The sequence below is a fragment of the Homo sapiens genome, chromosome 5 (assembly GCF_000001405.40).
Source record: "Homo sapiens chromosome 5, GRCh38.p14 Primary Assembly".
In the NCBI taxonomy this organism is placed as follows: domain Eukaryota; kingdom Metazoa; phylum Chordata; class Mammalia; order Primates; family Hominidae; genus Homo; species Homo sapiens.
Genome location: NC_000005.10, coordinates 82,717,930 through 82,741,843, shown reverse-complemented (window position 1 = coordinate 82,741,843; position 23,914 = coordinate 82,717,930). Strand labels below are relative to the sequence as shown.

General features: G+C 38.9%; 1 long non-coding RNA gene across 2 annotated transcripts; it reads right to left on the bottom strand.

The window, feature by feature from the left end:
• Positions 1 to 4,342: 4,342 nt before the first annotated feature.
• Positions 4,343 to 11,461, bottom strand: LOC105379050 (uncharacterized). 2 transcript variants are annotated; one of them, XR_948503.3, is made up of 4 exons: positions 11,203 to 11,461; positions 10,804 to 10,986; positions 9,323 to 9,397; positions 4,343 to 7,355 (listed from the first exon to the last, which is right to left on the bottom strand). It is a non-coding gene; the product is annotated as an uncharacterized LOC105379050 (long non-coding RNA). The 2 variants fall into 2 exon arrangements; XR_948504.3 differs by having other exon boundaries at positions 11,212 to 11,461.
• Positions 11,462 to 23,914: the final 12,453 nt, after the last annotated feature.

The window sequence follows — 23,914 nt, the reverse complement described above, 5'->3', positions numbered from 1 at the left end:
AAACTCTTGTTCTTAATTATGAAAACAGGAAACTATTTACTCCTGATTCTCCCTCCTCTACCTATCCACAAATATTAATAAATAAAAATGAGAGAGAGAAGTGTCAGAGGAGCTAGACATTAAGAATATTTACAGGATCTACAGTTACCAGGAAAAAGTTTACCTGACAAAAACACAAAACCCTAAGGCAGAAATACAGGACCACACAAGAAAAGACCTAGGATATTTGTACTAATTAACCCACGTCTGCAATCCTACCTTGGAGACAACAGGTATTGTGTGCTCAGAAGGGGAGCCCTCACTTTACCCTAGAGGTGCTTTCCTATACAATGTTGGAAGATTACTTAAGTCACTGCCTTTGAAACAGGATAGAATCTGATTTCCAATCAATAATGTTAGGGAAATGGTGAATTCAGTTTTTGAGAGTGTTGTAGTTTGACACATTAGTGGTTCCCAGTGAATTGCACTCCCAGTATTCATGCCCTTTTGTTGTCCCTAAAGAGGGCAACATAGTCAAGCCAGGTCCCCAGGAGGAAGGACCCTGCAGCATCATGGTACGTATATAGAGTAATAATAATTCCCCCAGACTTCCCCAATGGGGCTTATAACAATTTACTCATGTAACTGTATTCCAGGGAAAAGAGAATACTGGAATATTTTGAGGAATTCAGGACACAAAGTCCAAGTTAACATTGACACCTGAGGACCTGAAGCATCAAGATGGTGAGTTTTTACATTAAGCCTCTTTATGCTGGAAAGGTCAATGGATACCTGTTGACTATGGACTAGCCCTGTGATCTGCTTTAACCAGTGAAATGTAGCAGAAACATCACTGTCCCAGCTCTATACCTACATCTTAAGAAGACTTTGCAGCTACTGCATGCTTGTAAACCCTAGCCATGTAGGGAGTGGATTACTGGGCACAATAATAAGTGGGGCCACTCCTGTTTCTGCTCTTGATTTCTTGATTTCTGGATTTCAGTGAGGACAAAGCAACAAATGATAGTCATTGATTTGTGGTTGACTCTGTGCTGCAGGAATGTACCTCATCTTCATGAGTATCATCTCCAAACCACTACTTCAGCTGCATCAATACAAGGATGTTTTGTTGTTTTTCAGCCTGACAACTTCCAGGTGCTCTAGTATGTGGTAGGATCAGTGAATCCCATGGGGATGTGCCCACTGCATCCTCACTTTTATTTTAAAGTGTGTTCTTTTGTTTGATTGAGTGATAGATAGGATGCCATGTTAGTGCATCAAACACTCTGTAAGCCCTTAAAGAGTGGTGCTGGCTGAGGCCCTGTCTCAGAATTCATGACAATTCCAGCCAAGACAAATCACTGACTTTTCTAGTATAGAAAAAGCTCAATGGAAACAACTTGCCACCTTGATGCTTTAGGTCCCTTGGTACCAATGTCAACTTCAACCCTATGTACTGTAGACCTCATCATATCTGGGTATTATCCTTTTTCAAGAACACAGTTAAATGAGCAATTGGCCTCCTTTGGAGAAGGTTGGGGGCATTATTACTTCTTATAATTACCATGATATTGCAGGATCCTTTTCCTTAGGAATCTGGCCTCTCCCACAGTCAGTAAGCTCTGAGCCTAAAAATGGGCTCAGTTCCTAAAACCAGGAAAGGGATCCTGACTTTATATTGGATAGCTTCCTCCAGGCTATTTAATTTTCTCTATTCCCTTTCATTTATTTTTACTATATAGTTTAATATTGTTGTTGTCTATCCATTCATCTTGCTGCTAAGGATGCCATGTCCTATTAAATTTCAAATATGTTTATAAACCCTTTCACTTAGTTTCCAAACCCTGTGAACTCCAACCAATGTTCACCTGCCCCACTACACCTGTCACTAATTTTTTTTGTACCTGAGTTCCAGTTTGCTCAGCTTTCCAAAGTGGTTTCAGTGAACTGTGTTCTCTTCTGCTTCATCTTTCACACATGTTCTTTCTGCCTGTCACCTCTTCCCTTCCCTTTGTCACTACTTTTACCTGGCTTTCTCTTGTCCATCATTTAGGCTGTGACATATCCCTGCAGTATATTCAGTAGCATCCTGCACTGTCTCATATGTTTTGGGGTGTATATAAATGTGTTTAATTGACTATTTCAACCACTATATTGAATGCTCCAGAAACTCATGGTTTTTACTTACCATTTTATCCATAAAATCTGGCCCCAGGTAGGCATTCATTAATATGTGTTTAGTAAATAAATGGATATAGAACTGGGAACACATTCTTTTTCTGATAAAAAAACAGTGCTATAAATTGCTATAAATTATGTTTAGAGATAGGCTCAATGGTATCTCAGTTCCACAACTCAGAAAGATCATTTATTAACTGGACTTTTTGGGCTCATCTGTATACATAACCATTTTGGAAATTCACTTTAATCCTAAATACGTGATTTACATGTTGTCCTTAAGAAGATTCCCAACTGGTAAATTTAGTCTGTCATTAATAAGGGGGAACAATGCAAAAATAAGAAAAAGGAAAGTGATTCCTAAGAAGAAGACCTGTGGGAGATTTGGCAAACCACAGGCGTAAGGTTTTGGAGAAAAGTGTTAGAAGATCACTTAAAAGGCTAAAAAGCAGACTGGGTAGCGCCAAAAGGCTAATTATAGAGACATGTAGAAACCTACGACTTGGGAGAGTTATTCTATGACTCTGATCTATGAAAAGAGAGGAAATTATTATGCCTTGAAGTGCCCAAACTGCTAGTTGATCATATGACCCATGGATCCAGATTGCGTTAGAAGTAATTGCAAATGACTGTTCATATGTGTTATTGCTTAACCTCCTCTTTTATGTTTCCACTCCAATAAAAGGACCTGAAGTACTTTCTCTCTTTTATATCTCATTTTCCCAGGCATACTGTGAAACGAAGGCTGCAATGTACTACATGTTGGAGTGATTTAGTTGATTAGTTAGTTCTTCAATGCAAGTGCTTCTCACAGTCATCGTCAAATGCTTAGGATCACCAGGGATTCTGTGGTTATTTGAGCTGCCAGGAAAGAATAAAGTAAACGTGGAACACACAGGGACATTCCCCCCTGCCTTTCCTTGGTTTTAGGTTTTTGGCTTACTCTTCTTCATTTGGGCAATATCAGCCCAACTTGGGTAAGAAAGAAACAGCTTGGAGTTTTGAAAAGAGCCTGGATTTTGCAGCCAAGCAAATACCAAATTTCAGCTCTGCTGACTACTAGCTGTGTGACATCAGGCTAGTTATTAATTTCTTTGAGTCTCTATGTCCTCTTCCTAAGTAAGAAAGGGATAAGAACAGAACTTGTTATGTAGTGGAAGGAAGATACTGTTTGTAAAATACATAACTCATAGTAGACTATTAAAAAAAATCTGCTTCTTCCACCCCACCTCATCCTTTAAGTAAAAAAATAATTATTTATTATTTGTTAAATTGACATAATATAAAGTTAGGTTTAGCACTTGAATCATCAGGTCTAGGTGTTTTATTATTATTAAACACCCTGGCTAATTAGCAATTTTTTAACCTCAATGAACATAAGAGTCAATCCCACATATTGTAGAAATCTTTCTAAGTAGAAGTGCCCGACTTGGAAGCAGTGCATGGGTGCACAAATTGTATGCCTTAAAAGAATCATATTTTGGAAAAGCTTTCCTGGAAAAGGGATTATAAGCATCTGAGCGATGGGAAAATAGAGTAGAATTTTGTGATTGCACTGGTTTCTTTCGAGTTGTTGGTCCTGTGTGGGACTTATGTGCATCTTACTGTTTCCTAGTTGTGTAGTGCATCATTTTCAAAAAAATACTCCCTTTGTCCCCAATTATTCCACGTAGTGGCTGTAACTTGATTCAAACAATATTTCAAGATCTAGCCAAGCATCTTACAAATACATTTATTATTCTCATATAATTAAGTGGGATTGATTATTACTAGGAAACTGCAAAAAAGTATGCCTTACTAATGTGGGTCAGGAGCGTTGTTGTATATACTTGGTGATCACATTTTTCAAACCAAAAACTAGAGCCTGTCAGGCTCAGAAAACACTATCCCAAAGTGCTTTGAACTGAAGGAGATTGGGTGGGGCTCAGAAGCAAGGTCACTCTGCCTTTCCTCCACCTTTCTGTGTGAAGCATGGTTGTAAAAGAATTATCTGACCTACCTTGCCTCAAAATAGGTCATAAGACCCTCATTCCAGAGGACTTCTGCCCCATATGTGGTGGGAAGGAGTGCTAGACAGAGAAGACAAGAAGATCCTGAACAGACAGGCCTTGCTGGGATACCACTCCCTTTCCCACACTGCTCCCCATCACCCCACCCTCAGCTTATTGCCATTAGATCATACCCTTTTTGTTCAATCACATTTCCACATGGCTGTCCATTCCTCTTCAAACTTTCCATAAAACACAGTTTTTCCTGGGTCTTTGGGTCTCCGTTTCTAAAGGCTCCCATGTCTTAGAAAACTGTTAAATAATTTTGTTATGCTTTTCTCTTGCTAACCTGTCTTTTGTTAAAGGAGTGTTGGCCATGACTCTCATAATATATGAAGAAAAGGTATTATTACCTTTTCACTCCTACAGGCCCATAGTCTAGGAATGGGAAAAAAATATTCTTAATCTTTATGTTTTGCATAATTTGGTAAGTGCTTAACCTTTAGGAAAATGCATTTAACATTCTAATGAGCAATTGGGAGCTAACCTCATGTAATGTAAGAACTGTGTGTGATGAGCACACACCTGTGCTCATGTGCAGACATGCGGTTTAGCAGTCTCCTGGAAGGCAGGTAAGTGGGCTAGCATAGCCAGGACTAAAAGCACTGGCCTAAACAATATCCAGTGTGGTCCTCATGGAGTGCATAGATGTGTTTCAGGACTGAATTGGATCCACTCTTAACATATTTTTACCAAACCAGAATTTGACTCAGCAAATATTACCAAATAGAATGGAGTTTCTTGCTGCTCAGGAGAGAAGTTGATGGGTTAACTTAGAAACCCCTATTCCCATGCGTGGTGTCTAGAATTGTCAATAGATCACATCCACATGATAAATAATGTGGCAGACAGAAGGCCAGGCCTTGCCCAATTTTCCAAGGTGTTGAGGATAGGTGCCTTAAGACACAGTGTTTGAGAGGAGACAGGATGTGAAAGGCTATCCTTGCTCTGAGCCTGGAGGACACCCTTCAACACCCAGTCAAGCTAAATGACATTTCACAGGCGGGAGAATATTTAAGGTAATATCTACTATACCTAGAAAGTATATTTAGAAAGTACAATTGCATTTAGAAAGTACAGTTTTACAAAACTATGGAAAACGTGACTATCTTTAACAATATAAGTCTCTACACACCTTTTAGGTCGTTAAGATTGTTGAACACTTTTTTCTTTGGAAATGAGTTGAAGAACATCATTTTGACTCCCTATCAAAAGATTCTCAAAAATAACCAGAGTTTTAAACATCATGCCTGATTCGTTTTTCCCCATTGATCCAGAAGCTTCAATTATTAAATAAAACAAAAATCTGTTGGAATGCAAATTACCTCTTTTCTAATACTTTGAAGCTCTCCTGTGACTTTCACCATATACTTTACTGAGTATGCCAGCTGTTTGGGGCTTCTCTTTTTCTCCTATGAATTATAAGTTCCTAAAACCCAGAAACTTTTTAAAAATTCATTTTAAAAATAATTTCTTACCGAGACTAGCTTGTTGTGACTACAGTAGAAAAGTGAAAAATAGTAAATAATATTAATTGAGGCTTGGCACCGTGGCTCACACCTATAATCCCAGCACTTTGGGAGGCCGAGGCAGGTGGATCACTTGAGGCCAGGAGTTCGAGACCAGCCTGGCTAACGTGTCAAAACCCCGTCTCTACTAAAAATACAAAAATTAGCCAGGCGTGATGGTGCACATCTGGAATTCCAGCTACTCAGGAAGCTGAGGCACAAGAATCTCTTGAACCTCGGAGGTGAAGGTTGCAGCGAGTCGAGATCGCGCCACTGCACTCCAGCCTGGGTGACAGAGCGAGACTTTGTCTCAAAAAAAAAAAAAAATTAATTGAGTATATTGCAATAAGGTAAAACCATTTTTGGATGTGAAGCAGAGACTTGAGTCTACAGAAATCCTGTTTTAATTGTGTTCCATCAAGGTCTTGGAGTTTGGTCTCTGAGTAGGCTAAATAACAAAGGATTATTATGCTCGTGCATTGCAAGCTATGGGAAAGTTCATAAATTATCTTGATGACTCATTTCCTCTGTCACTCTAGGACTTCTAATATAGGGAGACCTTTTCTGTTGCCTTTAAAAAAAAAAAAAAACTTGTGAGATAAATGGGGAGAAAAGTCCTGAAATTGAGCTTGTTCAATAAGTGTTATTTAATGTTCATATAAAAATTAAACTGTGTTATAACAATGTTAATAACCAATTGATTCCAAAGGCCATGCTTAAAGGCCTCTGCCTTTAAACTCAGTCTTCTTAGTGCCATTTTGCAGAGTGGCTTGTGACCACAGGAGGTTATTTATTTCATCCTAAGCCACACAGGATATTTCCCATACATATGCTCAGTATACCATGGAGTGTAACAAAGGTCCCCTGTTCTTGAGGCAGCGATTGAAAAGAAAGTAGAAGGGAACCGTCTCTTTAATTTCTGAATATTGTGTACTATCAGACTCTCTGAAATGCAATTCAAAACCTTAAAAGGTTGTGGCATTTCTAGATTTCTCTGTCTTTATCTAGTCACCTACAAAAAAAATTTACATGCTTATACATTGATTGGAGATAAATAGCTTCATTTTGCTCTTTGAATCTTTGACTAGGCATATATATTTTAAGATTTTTTTTTCTAAGTACTTAAGACTGTCCTAAACAAAACAAATGCTGAATCAATATTTCAGGATTATCATCTGTAAACTTCTGAAAATCTGCCCATGGATTATTGATGTGTTTTGTTCTCATTCCAGAATCCTTTGGCATCTGCTTCATTTCACTGTTCTCTCATTTTTCAGTTTTTCATATAGGCCAGACAATTAACTACAGCATTAAAGTAGCAAGGATGTTAATTCTGTGCAATGCTTTGAAATATACTTCATTTGATATTATATACTATGGATAAAAGTTTTTATTTTCTCCTTATTCTTCCTTTTGAGGAAGGGAAAGAAAGAGTGAACTAAAGACATTAAACTATGGCTAACTGACCTCGTGAGTCAGTGTTTCCATGAATTTTACATCTCTCATTGCTGAAATTTTGGATGTTCTGTTCTTCATTTGAAAGCCTGCTTTTTATTGTTGGCGTGTATTTCCTGTTTTCTCTTTTCTCAGTTCCCACTCCTTGCGTCAGGACTCCCCTCAAATGATGAATTTACAAAGGAACCTGTTAACAGAGTAATAAACTCGGCCTCCCCACCCAGTGCCTGTCAGCACTCCCACCCAAGACCTCCAGTCTCCACATGGCTCCTTTTCTCTTTTCCTCTCTTGTCTCTCTATCACCCAGAGCCCTTTTCATGTACGGCAATATCTCACATGGGGACATCCTCAATTCCCAAATGACCTCAGGGAAACCTGACATTTGCCCCTGACACTAAAACTTACCAAAAATGAAAAAAAAAAAAAATAGAATTTCTATGCACAAGTCTCCTTGAATTTGGAAGCCAAGGAAATATTTTCTGCTATTGCTACAGATAGACTGAAGAAAGTTCTACTTGGAAAAACCAGAGCTGTCTGAAGAATGTAGGGGAGTGATGGATAACAAATTTCCTTTTGGGAGGTAAGTCTAAGGACATGGGACTGCCTCTGAGATCATCGCCTGTGTCAGAGGCAGGTGGAGCATTTAACACATGAGGGCTGAGGTGTGAGATTCTCTCAACATGCTTGGTATATTGATACTTAGGGGTATTAGTGAGCTGGCTCTAATTTGGAATTATTTAGCTCCCACTTCTTGCATGTTCCTTCCTCCTCTTTCTCTCAATAGGCCTTAAATCATTAATTACAAACATGACATGACATGAAAACCCATGATCTTTGATAGTGTTGGGCTCAGACAATGATACCCCAAAGCGAACACTTCAGAAGTAACAAAATTTTTCTCTGGCCTTCTCCTTCCCTCCTGTCTCTCATCCTTCATTTCCCCCTGAGGCACACCATAGAAACTAGAATCTCTCTTCCTTAAGGCGGTCATAGAAACCAGGATCCCTTTTCCCCAAAGCCAGCCATAAGACCTAAAACTGTGACTCTAAAAATATTGCTCTAACCTGCCTTGCTGCGTTTCCCCCGTGGTCTATTACTATTAGATCATAGCCTTTTGCCTAATCATATGCCTACATGGCTGTCCATGATTAATAGAACCTAAGCGTAAAAATGGATAGTTCACCCTGAGCCTTTGGGTCATCAATGTGAAAACTCTCATGTCATATAAAACTATGATCGAATAACTTTGTTATGGCTTTTCTTCTGTTAATGTGTATTGTCAATTCATTTCAGCAGACTTACACTTTAGAGGGGAAGCTTGAACTTCCATGGGATGGTTTCTCTTTACCTGTGTGTGGTAAGTCTTCAGTGAAGTAAATAGTAATTAGGACCTTTAATTATTTAATTAAATAATTTAATTTAAATAGTAAATTATTACTTTCACCAGTCAGAACATTACTTATTTGTTAAATTTCCCTAAAGGCAAAAATAAACTAATTCTCAAGCCACCAGCTACAGCTTGCTTTAGTCATGAAATTGAATAGATAGGAAATGAATGCTGAGGAGTATCCTGTACCAATTCGAAGTGGGTCTTTCAGGTAAATTTACTAAGCATGTTTAAAGATCAGCCAAGGCTCTCAAATGACAAAACATAAAAATTGGTGAAGAATTTTAAAATTGATCAAATTTAAAAATTTGATTATTTATCAGTAATTAAATAATAGCCTTCTGAAATTATAATCTGTATTTACCATGGGGTCTTAAATACTTTATGGACATCTATATTTATTATTGTATTGATAAGCTTTGCTTATCAATATAAGCTTTTCTTTGTATGGTATGGCTGTGTCCCCACCCAAATCTCATCTTTAAATGTAGCTCCCATAATTCCCATGTGTTGTGGGAGGAACACGGTGGGAGATCATTGAGTCATGGGAGTGGTTTCCCCCATATTGTTCTTATAGTAGTGAGTAAGTCTCACGAGAGTTGATGTTTTTATAAGGGGAAACCCCTTTCACTTGGTTCTCATTCTCTCTTTTCTGGCCACCACGTAAGACGTCCCTTTGCTCTTCCTTCATCTTCTGCCATGATTGTGAAGCTTCCCCAGCCATGTGGAACTGTGAGTCAATTAAACCTCTTTGCTTTAGAAATTACCCAGTCTCAGGCATGTCTTTGTCAGTAGCATGAGAATGGACTAATACATTTCTTTTTTTTTGCAAGTTGATTTTTCTGAAAGAAAGAAAGAATCTCTTTACATCCTCTGAAGAAGCCATAGTAGGCTTTCAAGTTTATAATGGTTTGTCAAGAGAAAGTGCAAGGAAAAATAGGTTACTAATAATCTAGAATTAAAGAGTGGCAATAACACGAGGAAGAGTTCGAAAGGAGTTTAAAGTGAGACCTGCCTGACAATGCAGAGTAATGATCTCTGTATAACTAAACATATTCTAAACAAGATAAGTGACCATCAGGCATAGATGCTGAACAGTATTTTTCCATGCTGGTTGGGAGGCAGTATTAGAAGAAATGTATTCAGTTTGTTTAACACTCTCTGACGGAATTTTAAAATTCCTTGATATTTGAACCATCTGGACAAGCCCAGTCACTCTTAAAATGCAAGGTACAGAGTTTACTGTAATACTGCAGATATGGTCCAACTAGGGTAAATACAAAATGATTAAATATACAAATTACATTTTATTAATATAGTCCAAAATTATGTTAGATTTTTAAATAGCCAAACCATGTGGCCAATTCCTAGTGCACTTATGATAAAGTAAACTCTGAGGCATTTTTCTCATATGAATTCAAAGGAACCCAGCCTCCTTTATTCCGTTCTTGCATAATTGATTATTAAATCCTAAATGTAAATTTTCATATTTATTGCTGACAAATTTTGTATTATTGATTCTAATGTCAAGATAATTTTTCATCTTGAAGTAGCTTATTACATTAAATATCCCTCTAAGCTTTGTGTAATTTCAGACAGTAAAAAGTCATCCTCTACATCTTCCAAATTGCTGATAGAGGTTGAATAGAACTGAATTTAGTGACACTATAATACAGTCTTCCCGGAGGAAGATTTTTTATTATGCCTCTCCATAGAGCAAATTCTCTGAAAATAACCTACAATTTTTTTAAAAGAAAACGTTTTTCCCTTTAATTTGTGAAACTCTATTCACACTTCAAAAAGAGCATAGAAAGTAGTAAAATATCACTGATGTGAGCATTCCTATTGAGCTGTTTTTAAGTCATTTTAGGCTGAAAAATATAACAAATCAAATAGTGACCTCCTACTTGCTCTGGGTTAATCAATAACCTTTGGTTTTGCAAAAAACAGCTGCTATTATTAAAGTGAATTGAAATATATTAGAAACGGCATTATCAGATGATGGTAGGGCTGCAAACCAGAGGTTACCGTTTCCTGCCTCCCTGGGCAACAGGAGTGTCTTTTGGTCCCTTTCAAAGCCTTTCACATCTGGCTGGTGCTGAAAGAATCTACTGTCAAACTGCTGCTGCTGTGGTACCTGGTTTCTTACGATTTAATTGCAAGTTCAGAACAGAGGACTTAGGGGTGTCTGGGGACCCGTGGCAGAGTTCACACAGCCTCTTTTTAAACAAAGGAGGCTCTGTCTTACCTTAGGCTTGTGCTCTTAATGAGGAAGTGAGTTTGATCGCGGGCCACATTAGGGTCCCCTTATTTAACAGGGCCAGGGTGATTGCATCAATGTTTTTCTAAATGGCATCTTGTGCGTTTGCAATGAAGGAGGTTAGCTTTGTTCTATTTTGGCCTTTAAACATAGTTCTTATCACCGACTAGCCTGAGAGAGAAGAAAATGGTAACATTGTGTTTCCAGGGAGAGGGGGGTGTGTGTGTGTGTGTGTGTGTGTGTGTGTGTGTGTGTGTGTGTGTGTGTGTGTGTGATGTGTTTGTGGTATTAATCTCAAGAAGTGGGAGGACGGCGGAGGTGCTCATAAGACAGGAGAACTGGAGGTAAACGACCCAGTTTCAGAGAGTAAGGGTTGTATTTGCATACCATTTTTACCTTCTGGCCAGGAATTTCTATTTGAAATATTTGGAGGTTTGTGCTGTCTGCAGGGACAAGTCTAGCTGACAGCAGCATCCTCTGTAATCACAGCACATTGCATAGGTCCTACCTCAGAACCTGGGTCTCAGAAATCTAGAATTTTTTAAATGATTCACATTATGTGTAAGAACCATTGTTCTTGAGTAATAATGGCTCTTTGGTCAAGTTCCTTTCTAAAATCAATTTAAAGTATTAAAGCCACAAAGGAAAGTCAATATTACTGGGTTTTGGAGCATAATTTGAGACATAGAATTAGATGGTAATGCCTTTAAATACTATCAGCATGAATTGTGTCTGTCTAATCTATATCCATGCTTATACCCTGCCTAGTGTTTAAAAGCACTAAGGAAAAGGGGCGCCAAAAAATACAACCAAGCAAACATAGTTGACTATTGAGCAACTTGGGGGCTGGGGGACTGATGCCTAGCACAGTCAAAAATCCCAGTATAACCTGTGAGTCCTGCCAGATTTAACTACTAATAGCCTTTTGTTGACCAGAAGCCTTCCTTATAAAGAGTTGATTAACACATATTTTATGTGTTATATACTGTATGTATTATATACTGTATTCTTACAATAAATTAAGCTAGAAAAAAGAAAATCATAAGGAAGATCAAATATAATAACTATTCATTAAGTAGAAGCGGATCATCATGAAGGTCTTCATCCTTATCTTTGTGTTGGGGAGGCTGAGGAGAAGGAGGAAGAGGAAGGGTTGGTCTTGGTGTCTCAGGGGTGGCAGAGGTGGAGGAGGTAGAAGGAGAGGCAGGAGAGGCAAGCGTTGAGGTAATGGTGCAACTTCTACAGTGAAATACCATCTTCATTTCTCCTTATAAAGGCAAAATGGTCATTTATATATTGAAGCAGGTATTTAGAATAAAGCAAGAGAAAAAAATGTTTATGGAATTTTTTTAGATTGGTCTAATTTTCAGAAAAATGAAGACACATACATTAGCAAAGCAGAAAGCTAGCAGCAAAGTTGTTGATTATCTCTGGGCTGCTCCATGATTCCACACAAGGCTGGAGGTGTACCTCGCATTTTAGCCTGAATTACTCTCTTTTCTTTGGCTCCACAGGCAGGAAAACGATTTGGCATGTGTTTCAATTCCGTATTGGAAACCACACCTTTTAAAGCTATTCGTATGTAGTCATTCCCTTGCTACTGTGAAAAACAACTTTAGAAGACACCGTCCTTTATTTTATGAGTTTTGCTGTGGTTTGTTATGATAATAATAATGTTGGGTCAATACCTAGCGCCCTTTTCCTGACTACTTGAGTTCTGAACCAGTTGGGAAAAAGAACCGAGAGTCAGATAGATGAAAGCCAAAGTATCACTTTTGCTGCTGATAAACTGCACAATGTCACTTTAGATGTGCAGCCAAAGGGGTTAGTAATTTTATACCCTTAAATGTACACACAGCAGTTTCTGACAGCTGGGCTCCTGCAGCTCTCCTCTGGGATGGTGGGCTCCAGAGAGCCTGGCAGAGCACAAACCGGGTGGTCTGATGAGACAGCTCAGAAACTCTGAGACCCCTGTGCCCTGCCTTTCTCCCTCCCCTGAGTAGGAGCGAGGGAAGGACAGTGAGAGGTGAGCAGTGCTAATCCTAAATTCCTCCACATGGAATTATGATGCCTGGAGGAAAGGAGGTCCCTCAACAGCAGTAATAATCCTATTTCCATAGTGATTTCCCATTCCTATTTATTATCACAGTTTACAGAAGGAAAAGGGTATCAGCAGCTGAAAAAGACTGACTTCTGAGGGGAAAACAGAAATGGCACGTTGTGGATATAAAACAGATTTACCTCTTTCCATGGCCTAAATGTATCTCATTTCCATTTCACTAATTTTTTTCCTTAAGCAAATGGCAGTTTTGCATTTTTATCTTAGGTCCTGACTATATTCCCTTTGTTGCTATGATTACTAAAAATCAATAAAACTGATTTAAAATTTTATTTTCAAACGTTGATGTTGCAGTTTTCAGTGATAATATATTTGGAAACATTTGCCATCTTCTTACCTAGATTTGGAAAGAGATAGGTTGACTCTTTTTTCTAATGCATAAGGAAGGCAGTATGCCATATTCATGATATTCTTTCTTCTTACATTCAGAAGTTCTATTTTCCTTTTCTTGTTCTTCCCATCTGAAACATAAAGAACTTAGCATATGGAAGGATTTTTTTTTTTTCCATAACTGGGACTCGAAGCCTTGGTTGTCAAGAAGTCAGGTGGAACAAGGACTGGTGAGAGACTGGGGCTCAAGGTGGCCAGTAAGCGTCCTCTGCCACCCTAGGAAAGGCTACAGCAGGAGAGAAACAACACAGCCATTATGAGAAAGAGAAGCAGAGCCAAGGGGTGGATAGAAAGAGATCTCCAGCAACCCATTTGCATTTCCAGATCTAGCAAGGAATTAAGCAAGCTGACTCCTCAACTTTGTAGTTTTGTAAGCCAATAAATGGCCTTTATTACTTTAGATGAATACAAGATATTTTCTGTCACTTGCAACCCAGAAAACCCTAGGCAATGCAAGTTTTGTCTTCCCTGCATATTATTGGGGTTCAGAACATAACATCTCAAAGTATGGCACCTTGGCATGTGGAATATTTTGAACTGAAAATTGGAAGGGCCTCAGATGCAAGGCCTTCCCGATCTTCTCCTGTCCTCCTGTCATCCACCCCTCTTTCTTCTGTAAAGTGAGTCATAGAAACCAGAATTATTCTTCTTTTAGGCAAATCAATGAAACTAGAACTGCTTTCCCCCAAAGCAAGCCATAAAATTGAGAAATGCTGCTCTGTCCCTTGAAAACTCTCATTTCTGAAGAAGCCTGGCCCATACGTAGGCGGAAGTAATGCAACACAGAGAGGCCAAGAGGACTCTGAACAGATAGGCCTTGCTGGATTCTCCCCTTTGTCTATGACCATTAGATTATACCCTTTTGTCCAATCACATTTCTATGGTTGTACATTCTTCATCAAACGTAAGCATAAAAAAAGATAGTTTTCCCTGGGTCTTTGGGTCTCCATTTCTGAAGGCTCCTGTGTCACATAAAACTTTGATTAAATAAGTTTGTTATGCTTTTTTCTTGTTAACCTGTCTTTTGTTATAGGAGTGTTGTCTGTGACTCTTATAATGAGTGAGGAAACGTATCATTCCTTTCCATTCCTATAATATCTAAGATCGGTGTAGAAAGTTTAACAAGACTTTAGTAAAGGTTCCAAGTTAATGAAAGAGAATTATAACACAGAGATACCACTTGGCTCTCTACCTATAGGATCGATCCTACACCACAGACTCTGGCTGATTTTAAGTAAGGAAAGCCCTATGCTGTGCCATAGGCTCTTTCCTGTCAATTACAAACTTTGCTCCCTGCCTAGTTCTTAGTGAGGTCCTCTTTCCCTCACCATCCGGGAATTCCTCTGAACATCTCCTGTTCAGGTCGGAGAAGACCCAGAGGAACTTCTCATCCTATATGTCCCTTCAGAGTAACATCAAACTTCCATTTTCTCATTTCCTGTCCCAAGATGCACTTCTTCTCAGCCTGACTGACAGATGTGAATGTCTATTCCCTAAGAGGATATCCATCCTGATACCCATAAGAACTAAGGCTTGTGATCTCAATAACCACATCAGAATGGAAAAGTCCACATTACTAGGAGAGTTACCTATCTGGTAGCAGAGGTCATTCCTTCCTCACATTTCCTACCCAATTATGAACGGAAGAGTTAGCTCTTTTCTTTTTTTTTTTTTTTTTTGAGACGGAGTCTCGCTGTTGCCCAGGCGGAGTGCGGTGGCGCGATCTCGGCTCACTGCAGGCTCCGCCCCCCGGGGTTCACGCCGTTCTCCTGCTTCAGCCTCCCAAGTAGCTGGGACTACTTGGCGCCCGCCACCTCGCCCGGCTAATTTTTTGTATTTTTAGTAGAGACGGGGTTTCACCGTGTTAGCCAGGATGGTCTCCATCTCCTGACCTCGTGATCTGCCCGCCTCGGCCTTCCAGAGTGCTGGGATTACAGGCGTGAGCCACCGCGCCCGGCCGAGTTAGCTCCTTTCTTGTTACAATATAGTCTTGGTTGAATGTTGACAAATTTCACCCAGGAATGTGTGAGATAAAGTGGAATAATAGGCAATATTGGTAGTAAAGGGACAGAAATAGGTGTTGAAGAATCAGAAAATGGATCTTGTTCCATCATCTTAAATCTACTTTTGAAGTCAGTGGCTTCTGGAAGATTCTTATAGATTCTCTCAATATAAGGACATTAGAAAACACGGATGTTCAGTAGCTAGGAGAAAGTGGTACATATTTCTTTTTTTTTTTTTTTTTTTTTTTTTTTTTTTTTTTTTTGAGACGGAGTCTCGCTCTGTCGCCCAGGCTGGAGTGCAGTGGCGCAATCTCAGCTCACTGCAAGTTCCGCCTCCCGGGTTCACGCCATTCTCCCGCCTCAGCCTCCCGAGTAGCTGGGACTGCAGGCGCCCGCCACTGCGCCCAGCTAATTTTTTGTATTTTTAGTAGAGACGGGGTTTCACCATGGTCTCGATCTCCTGACCTTGTGATCTGCCCACCTCGGCCTCCCAAAGTGCTAGGATTACAGGCGTGCGCCACCGCGCCCAGCCTCATATTTCTTAAGTTGGGAAAAAATACATTACTGATTGAATGGCAACACATTTCATCCAGGAATGCTTCCTCTAGCATGAGCTAAAGATCATGACTACGTACTAGTCTACCTTCTGAGCTTTCAATCTTAGTTTTTCTGTGAGCAATTGTCCAAATCATAATAGCCACCCCCATAGGAGAAAGCAACGGTGTCCTTGTTCAGCATGTGACAAATCTCTTTTTGGAAATGCAGTCTCTAAATAAAACATGGGCTATAAAAATGCAACTTTGTCAGCAGAACTTGTCAGTTCTTTGTACACCCAACTATGCATTCAGATCATCTGAGAAATTTTTCTAACAGTTTCCTAAGCCTTATCCCAGACCTGCTGTTTGAATTTTTGGAATGGGGCTTGGAGATTCGAATATTTAAAAAGTGTCCTGAATGATTCAGATATTACATTTTGGGACCTTTTTCTGTTAGCAGCTATCTTGGTAAGAATCCTTGTTCTATCACTACCTTTTCCTTATATGGTTGGTTTCTAAGATATTTGCCAAATCCTTCCCAATGTACACTTAGACTCTGCAGAAATAAGCTGTTATTCTTGTCTTAAGTTTTTTGTTTTTTTTTTTTTTTTTTGAAATGGAGTCTCACTCTGTCACCCAGGCTGGAGTGCAGTGGCGCAATCTCAGCTCACTGCAACCTCTGCCTCCCAGGTTCAAGCGATTCTCCTGCCTCAACCTCCCAAGTAGCTGAGACTACAGATGTGTGCCACCATGCCCAGCTCATTTTTGTAGTAGAGATGGGGTTTCATCATGTTGGCCAAGCTGGTCTCAAGCTCGTGATCTCAGGAGATCCACCCACCTTGGCCTCCCAAAGTGCTGGGATTACAGTCATGAGCCACCGCGCCCAGCCATCTTAAGATTTTTAATAGTAGCAATATATTATGTAACGACAACAACAGCAATAAACCAGAGCATGGGGTCAGAACAGGACTGGGTAAGGTTGACTGGAAGGTACTTCACCTGAGCTAGTCTAGTGAGACTAAGAAAAGTATCAGCCTCAGAACTTGAGGTGGAAAATGGCTTGTGTATGTTTGTAAGTGACCTCAGCTGAAATGTGTGGTGTGGACAATGAAGGATGAGAAGACAGGAAGCCAGAAAGACCATTAAATTTAATAAAAAAGAAAAGGTCTTCGAGATTCATGAGACAACCACACTTGGTATGAATTCAATAATACTTCTAACACCCAAATGGAACACCTCAGCATTTTCTAAGATTTTAGCTTCCTGCATCTTCAAAACTACTTGTGCCATTTCCTATGATAGTGACCCAAGAACAAGGATGCCTTTAGCTAAATGTAATATTAGTCATAAAAGACAGAAATATCCTTTGAACCAAGACTCACTCACATGAGACAACATTGCTGTCAACAAGACATTGTTGAACAGAAGAGTGATTGTCTTCTATCCAAGGTGCTAATGGATAGGAGATGTATAGTTTGTTTAATAGCGTATTAACATACCACAACAAAACACAAATGGCATGAAGATACTTTGAGAACTTTCGACAAGAGCCAAAAATTGTCTTGAGAAACATTCTACCATATTTTAAAAATAAAATAAGGTATTTTAACTTTCAAATTATATAGAAGTTATATTTTTTAGGTTTTGTTGGTGCATGGAATAATAAAAATTGGGGTTTAGGGTTAAGGTAGAAACTCAGGTGAATTAGAAGTTAAAAATAGGAAACTTTGTAGTACCCATTATCAGTGAATGTGCTTCTGTCTGTGTGAATATCTGTGTGTATCCAAGCACGTAATTTTGTGTCATACCAACAATCTTATCTTTCTGGGAATGTTGTTTTTCTTTTTTCTTTTTCTTTGAGATGGAGTCTCGCTTTGTTGCCTAGCCTGGAGTGCAGTGGCGTGACCTTGGCTCACTGCAAGCTGTGTCCCCTGGGTTCACGCCATTCTCCTGCCTCAGCCTCCTGAGTAACTGGGACTACAGACGCTCACCACCACGCCCGGATAATTTTTTGTATTTTTAGTAGAGACGGGGTTTCACCGTAGCCAGGATGGTCTCAATCTCCTGACCTCATGATCTGCCCGCCTCGGCCTCCCAGAGTGCTGGGATTACAGGCATGAGCCACTGTGCCCGGCCTTTCTGTTTTCTTTTTCTTTTTTCTTTTTTGAGATAGAGTCTCACTCTGTCTCCCAGGCTGGAGTGCAGTGGCAGGATCTTGGCTCACTGCAACCTCTGCCTCCCGGGTTCAAGCAATTCTCGTGTCTCAGCCTCCTGAGTACCTGGGACTACAGGCGCCTGCCACCACACTTGGCTAATTTTTGTATTTTTAGTAGAGACGGGGTTTCACCATGTTGGCCAAGCTGGTCTTGAACTCCTGACCTCAGGTGATTAGCCCACTTTGCCCTTCCAAAGTGCAGGGATTACAGGTGTGAGCCACCACGCCTGGCCTGGGAATGTTTTTCACTACATAATTCCTTGGGGGCTGGCTAGGTAACCAAATAATATTGCAGAAATACTGAGGGTAGGTTGGTGGTTGCTACTGTGGTTTTTTCATCATAATTATAGTGGCTTTGTAAGGTGTAAGGCGTTAGCCTGGCTATGATGAACTACATTTCCCAGAATTTATTTTTCTGTACATTTCATGTTAGGGCAGACCACATGAGAGATTTAATGAGATTTGGAGACCAAAAGTGAATTAGCAGCCATTTCGTAGCTCACACACCTGAGGAGATTGCAATTACTCCTCCTTCCCCACATCCTCCCTCAGGGATCAGCTTCTCTAATTCCTGGGCTAAGTGTCTCTGTTTGACTCCATGACAAATGCTCCCCAGCACATGTAGGACACCCACACCATAAAGATCAGAGACAATGAGAAATGGCATGGGCTCCAGTGTGTTTTCACATACTCCAGCACATGCTTGTACTTCCATCTTGTTCTTGCTCACCCGCATTTTACATCCACCTTCCCTTCCTTACTGCCTGCTCTGTGGATTTCAGGCTCTAGCCTCAAATAAAAAGACAAATCTTACAGAGACTGCATAGCCAGCTCCTACAATTATGTATGGTCAGATCACTATAAAAGTATAAATGCATATCTATATCTATAATTGTAGATGACAGAGCTATGTATGTCTGTATCTATCTACTATCTATCTCTATCATAGTGTTTCTGCTTCTCTGATTTAACCCTGACTGATATCATAACTACAGGAGTTCCAAAACTTCCCAGGTCAAGCTCTATGAAGCCAGATTTGTCTTAACACACAGAGACACCCATGAAAGATACACACACACACACACACACACACACACACACATCAATTTTTTTGATAAGGCCTTTAGTTGAGATAAAGAGCTTGAGAACTTACATGTTTCATGCACTCCTTTACCGTATTGAATGGGAAACGGAAAAGCTGTACTTCATTGTGCTAATTTTCATACATCTAACTCAAATCAAAAATCACATGTGGAAAAGTGTCTATTAAACTTAACAGTTCTTTGACCCAATCAGACAACTTCTATGAATCTCTCCTATAAGAAAAGGAAAATGGCATTTCTCCACACACGTACATACTTTCAAGGTCGTAAAAAGGAACTGACTGCTTGAATCAACTGTGGTACATTCATACTAGAGCTTATTATGCAATTGCTATAAAGAATTATTTAAAAGTAATGCATATGTTATGTTCTTATCCTTGTGAAAAATAATAGGGGGAAATCCTACATTTTTGTATGTGTTTATAAATAGCATAGGAAAAGGTAGGTGAGGCATCACACTAGACTGAGAACGTTGTCTAATGGAATGGAGTGGGTTTGGCAGGAAAGGGAGATATTAACATTTTTTAATACAACACCTAAGCATTGTTTGAATTATTACAAAAAGCCTGCATTATTCTTGTAGTTTTCCCCATTCTCCCCAAAGTCTAATGAACTAACTTCAGATAACAATAATTTTGCTATGGTTTTATTTTTTCAAAAGAGAAAAGAAAGAAAGTACCATACGTGACTATTCCCCTGCTCCTTGCACCTAGTGAGTTGGCTGGGTGTGCTGTGCCTGTTAGGAAGACTACCCTAGACCCCAATCTGGACCCCTGATAAGGACCCCTGAATAGGTCACCCACTATCTTCTCTAGCTCTCAAGCTTGAATTTCCCCAATTCCCAGTTCAGAGCCAACCTCTCAGTATCAACCAAACCAAAGTCCAGAAATGGGTTATAGTTCTAGGAACTCAGCCCATGTGTAAAAATATTATTCTAGGTCATTCCTCATTCCTCTTGCACATGCACTGTTCAGACAGCCTCAGAACTATCTCATTTATTATTCAAGAGAATTATCTTTGTCTCATTTTAACAGTAACCTGTTATCAATCAATCAACAAATTTCTTTTGGAAGCCTAGTCAAATACCTACAGGAAAAACTAATATGATTAAGATAGATATATAATATATTGCATGTATATATGTATATATTTTTCTATATATATTTGCAATCAGATTTGCCTTAAAATTGGACAGACTTTATCAACTTGAGTAAGTAACTACTTTGGAATTGTACAGTCTTATGTGGTTTTAGAGGGTTCGTTTCCCTGGACCAAAGAAAAAAGTACCAGAAGTCACAACTAGGGAGTTATGAGGGAGGTTTCAGGCTCCCAAGGAATGTGACTTCCAAGATATACAGAAGACATTCTTCTTTATAATCCCATAATACAAGTCACAGAATATTCTTTATTGCTACTCCAGAAGGGAAATATATAAAGAAAACACTGGATTTTTAGGGAATCTATAAACATAAGATGATTATTACATAAATAATTTCAAGAATTGTATTTAGCCACCAACAGAAACCCACAAAACAAGGATAACAATGAGTCTGAAGGAAGAGTCTAGGATTAGCAGGACAGCTTCATGATGTCAGTGGGAACCCAGGCTCCTTCCCTGTTTACTCAGCCATCCTTTCCTGTTCCCTTTTCCTCATGATTACAAGATGGTTCCATTTCCACCATTCCATTCAATCCCCTCAGTGCTCCCAGTCCAACCCCCACTAGACATCAAGACTATGTTCCAGGCAGGAAATAGGGAGAAGAACAAGAGACAAACGTGCTAAGTCAGCCGCAGATAAAGAGCTCGAATCTCATTGGCTGGTGTGTCACATGCTAATTCCTAGCAACAAAAGAGCTGGAAAAAGTAATTGTGCCACTTATAGCACCCCCGCCCCCCACCCCGGAAAAAGCAAAGTTCTAATGGTAAAAAATAAGGGGAAAGGGAACATTAGGTTGGCAATTCCTACAGTAAGCAATCCAGGATTAAGTTTTTTTAGTTTGTTTCTTAAAAGTCAGACTGCTTCCTTCTGGGAATTGATTCAAGAAAATAAACAAGCAAACAAAGATATAATTTCATTCATTTTAACATTATTTCTTATGGTAGAATCTGGCTGGTTAGTAAAACGATCTGGCTCCCTACTCTTTCTCTGACCTCATCTCCCACCCACATTCCTCATTCTGCACCACCTTGCTGCTCTTCAACAATGCTGAGCATGTTATCTTGTTCATTGTTCTCCCTCTGCCTGGGTAGAGGGAGAATCTACCCAGATTTTCCCACAGCTTGCTTCCTCTCTGTACATCTCTGGTAAAATGTTTCTCTTTCCAGAAGCTTACATCACCTTCCATAAAACAGTAACTTACCTTACATTCCTTCATTTTCACTTTTATTACTCACTCCCACTTAACATTATATTTATTTTTTATTTTCTGTCTTTCTCCTTCTGTCTTGCTACTTAAGAATTGAAGCCTACAAGTATGACTGGCACAAAATAGGTATGAAATATTTGTTTTATGAGGGAATGAAGCTCTCCCTGTTTATTGAGGTCTTTTACGCCTCTCAAGAATATTGTGTAGTTTTTGTATAAAGCTCTTGCAGTTTCTTAGGTCTGTTCCTAGTTTTCACTGCTAATTGCTAATGTTACATTTTTTTACCTTTCACATTTTCTAATTGGTTTTTTGCTGGTCTGTATGAATGCTATTAATTTTAAAATATATTTAACAACTGGGCTGACCTTTCTAATTAGTTTTAACATATTTTAATTAGTTTAATACATTGACCTTTTAAATTAATTTTAACATAATGCGTTAAACTAATTAAAAAGGTCAGCCCAGTTATTAAATATATCCTTTAAGTTCTCTTGTATTTTTTTTGAAAGATAAGTAAGTAGTCTGGAAAAATTGCAATTTTTATTTTAATCCTTAAACTTCTTTCTTTTCTGATCTTTTGTTGTTGTTGTCATTTTACGTAGTGAGGCCTTCACTACAAGGTGAATAGGTCAGCAGTGGCTGGCATTGCTGCCTAATTCCCCACTGTTCATTCTATAAATGAGTAGGAGGAAGCTCAGAAGTTTAGATGATGTAATGACACAGCACAGCTGGCTGGTGACTGACTCTGTATCAGACTCTGTGAAGTTTTGCTACTCCACATCCTCATACAGTGTAGCACTTTATAATAAAAAGGATTTGGGAACTAGAACTAGCAGACTTGTGCATCACCATTTTGCAATGACCTTGTGCAAATTAATTCAGCATTTGAGACTGTTTCCTCCCATGTAAAATAAGAATATTGATATATACTACATAGAGTTTAACAAATGAATTGATTTCATATAAAACGTTTAGAAGACGGCCCAGCAAACTAGTTACTGAATAAATGTTCGTTAAATTAACATAAACTTAACATTAACTTAAACCTACCTACATTTTATGATTTTTTATTTGTGGTTTTCTAGTCATATGTCATGTATGAGACATATCTGAGGCCCTTTTATGGAGACTTTTAAATTTCTATCATGCCACTCAGATTTAAATTTGTGGTTGACCTTGTTCTAGATTATCACCTAAGTAGATACAATCAACTTTAATTGTGAAGATCTTTCTCTCGTTTCTTCTTTCTTACTCCATATTATCCCCTTTTCCACACTCATAAGCCATGATTCATTCAATATTTTATGACATTCTTATGAATTTCCGGATTGCAAATTATGCACAAGTTACTGGCATATAGAATCATATAACCCTTTGGGGCTTTGAGTCCCTACGTGCATACAGTAAGGTTATTCAAGGGATTTTTTTAATGGTACCTTCTAATCCTTTAGGCTCATAAAATTAAACAATGTTTGATGGAAGAATTTTCTAATGGTACACTATATTACTACAGTGCTTTTGTTTTAGGCAGAACTAATGAGATTCTTTATCATCTTTCTTAATTTTACATGAAATACAGGTAAAGGAATTGGCATTGAGATCAGATTATAATTCACTCAGGATTTTAATTTATACTTTTCTTCAAATCAGGATAGATCAACCTATCAGCAAATTTTTCTTAAACATGACAGTAATCCTCAGTTATTATTTGGAGACAAAATTCAAATAACATTGAGGTTACATCCAATATCCTTTTAAGATGGACACTGAAAGATTCTGAGAGCAGACACATTTTTGTCGTAAGACTGTATGACAATATAAGAAAACATTTTACTTATTTATCTACTGAAAACCTATATTATGAAATTATAACATTGCATTCAAAACCTTGCCATCAGGTCAATTTTCTCATGCTTTATGTTTTAGATTATTCATAAACTCTCCCTCCTTCTTTCTTTTCTCCTTCCCTTCACTCATGTTTAGGCTTAAATAAACAGATAGAATTGACATGTTACAGACATAACATGATATCATGGAAAATGAAAAGACTATTTGTAATGAAAGCGCCTACTGACTAGTTGTATTATTAGTCTGTTCTCACACTCCTATAAAGAAATACCTGAGACTGGGTAATTTATAAAGAAAAGAGGTTTAATTAACTTACTGTTCTGCATGCTGTACAGGAAGCATAATACCAGCATCTGCTCAGCTTCTGACAGGGCCTCAGAAAACTTCTAATCATGGCAGAAGGCAAGGGGGAAGCTGGCACTTCACATGGATGGAGTAGGAGGATGAGAGAGAGCGGGGAGGTGCTACACGCTTTCAAAACAGCCAGATCTCATGAGTATTCACTTCCTAACTATCAC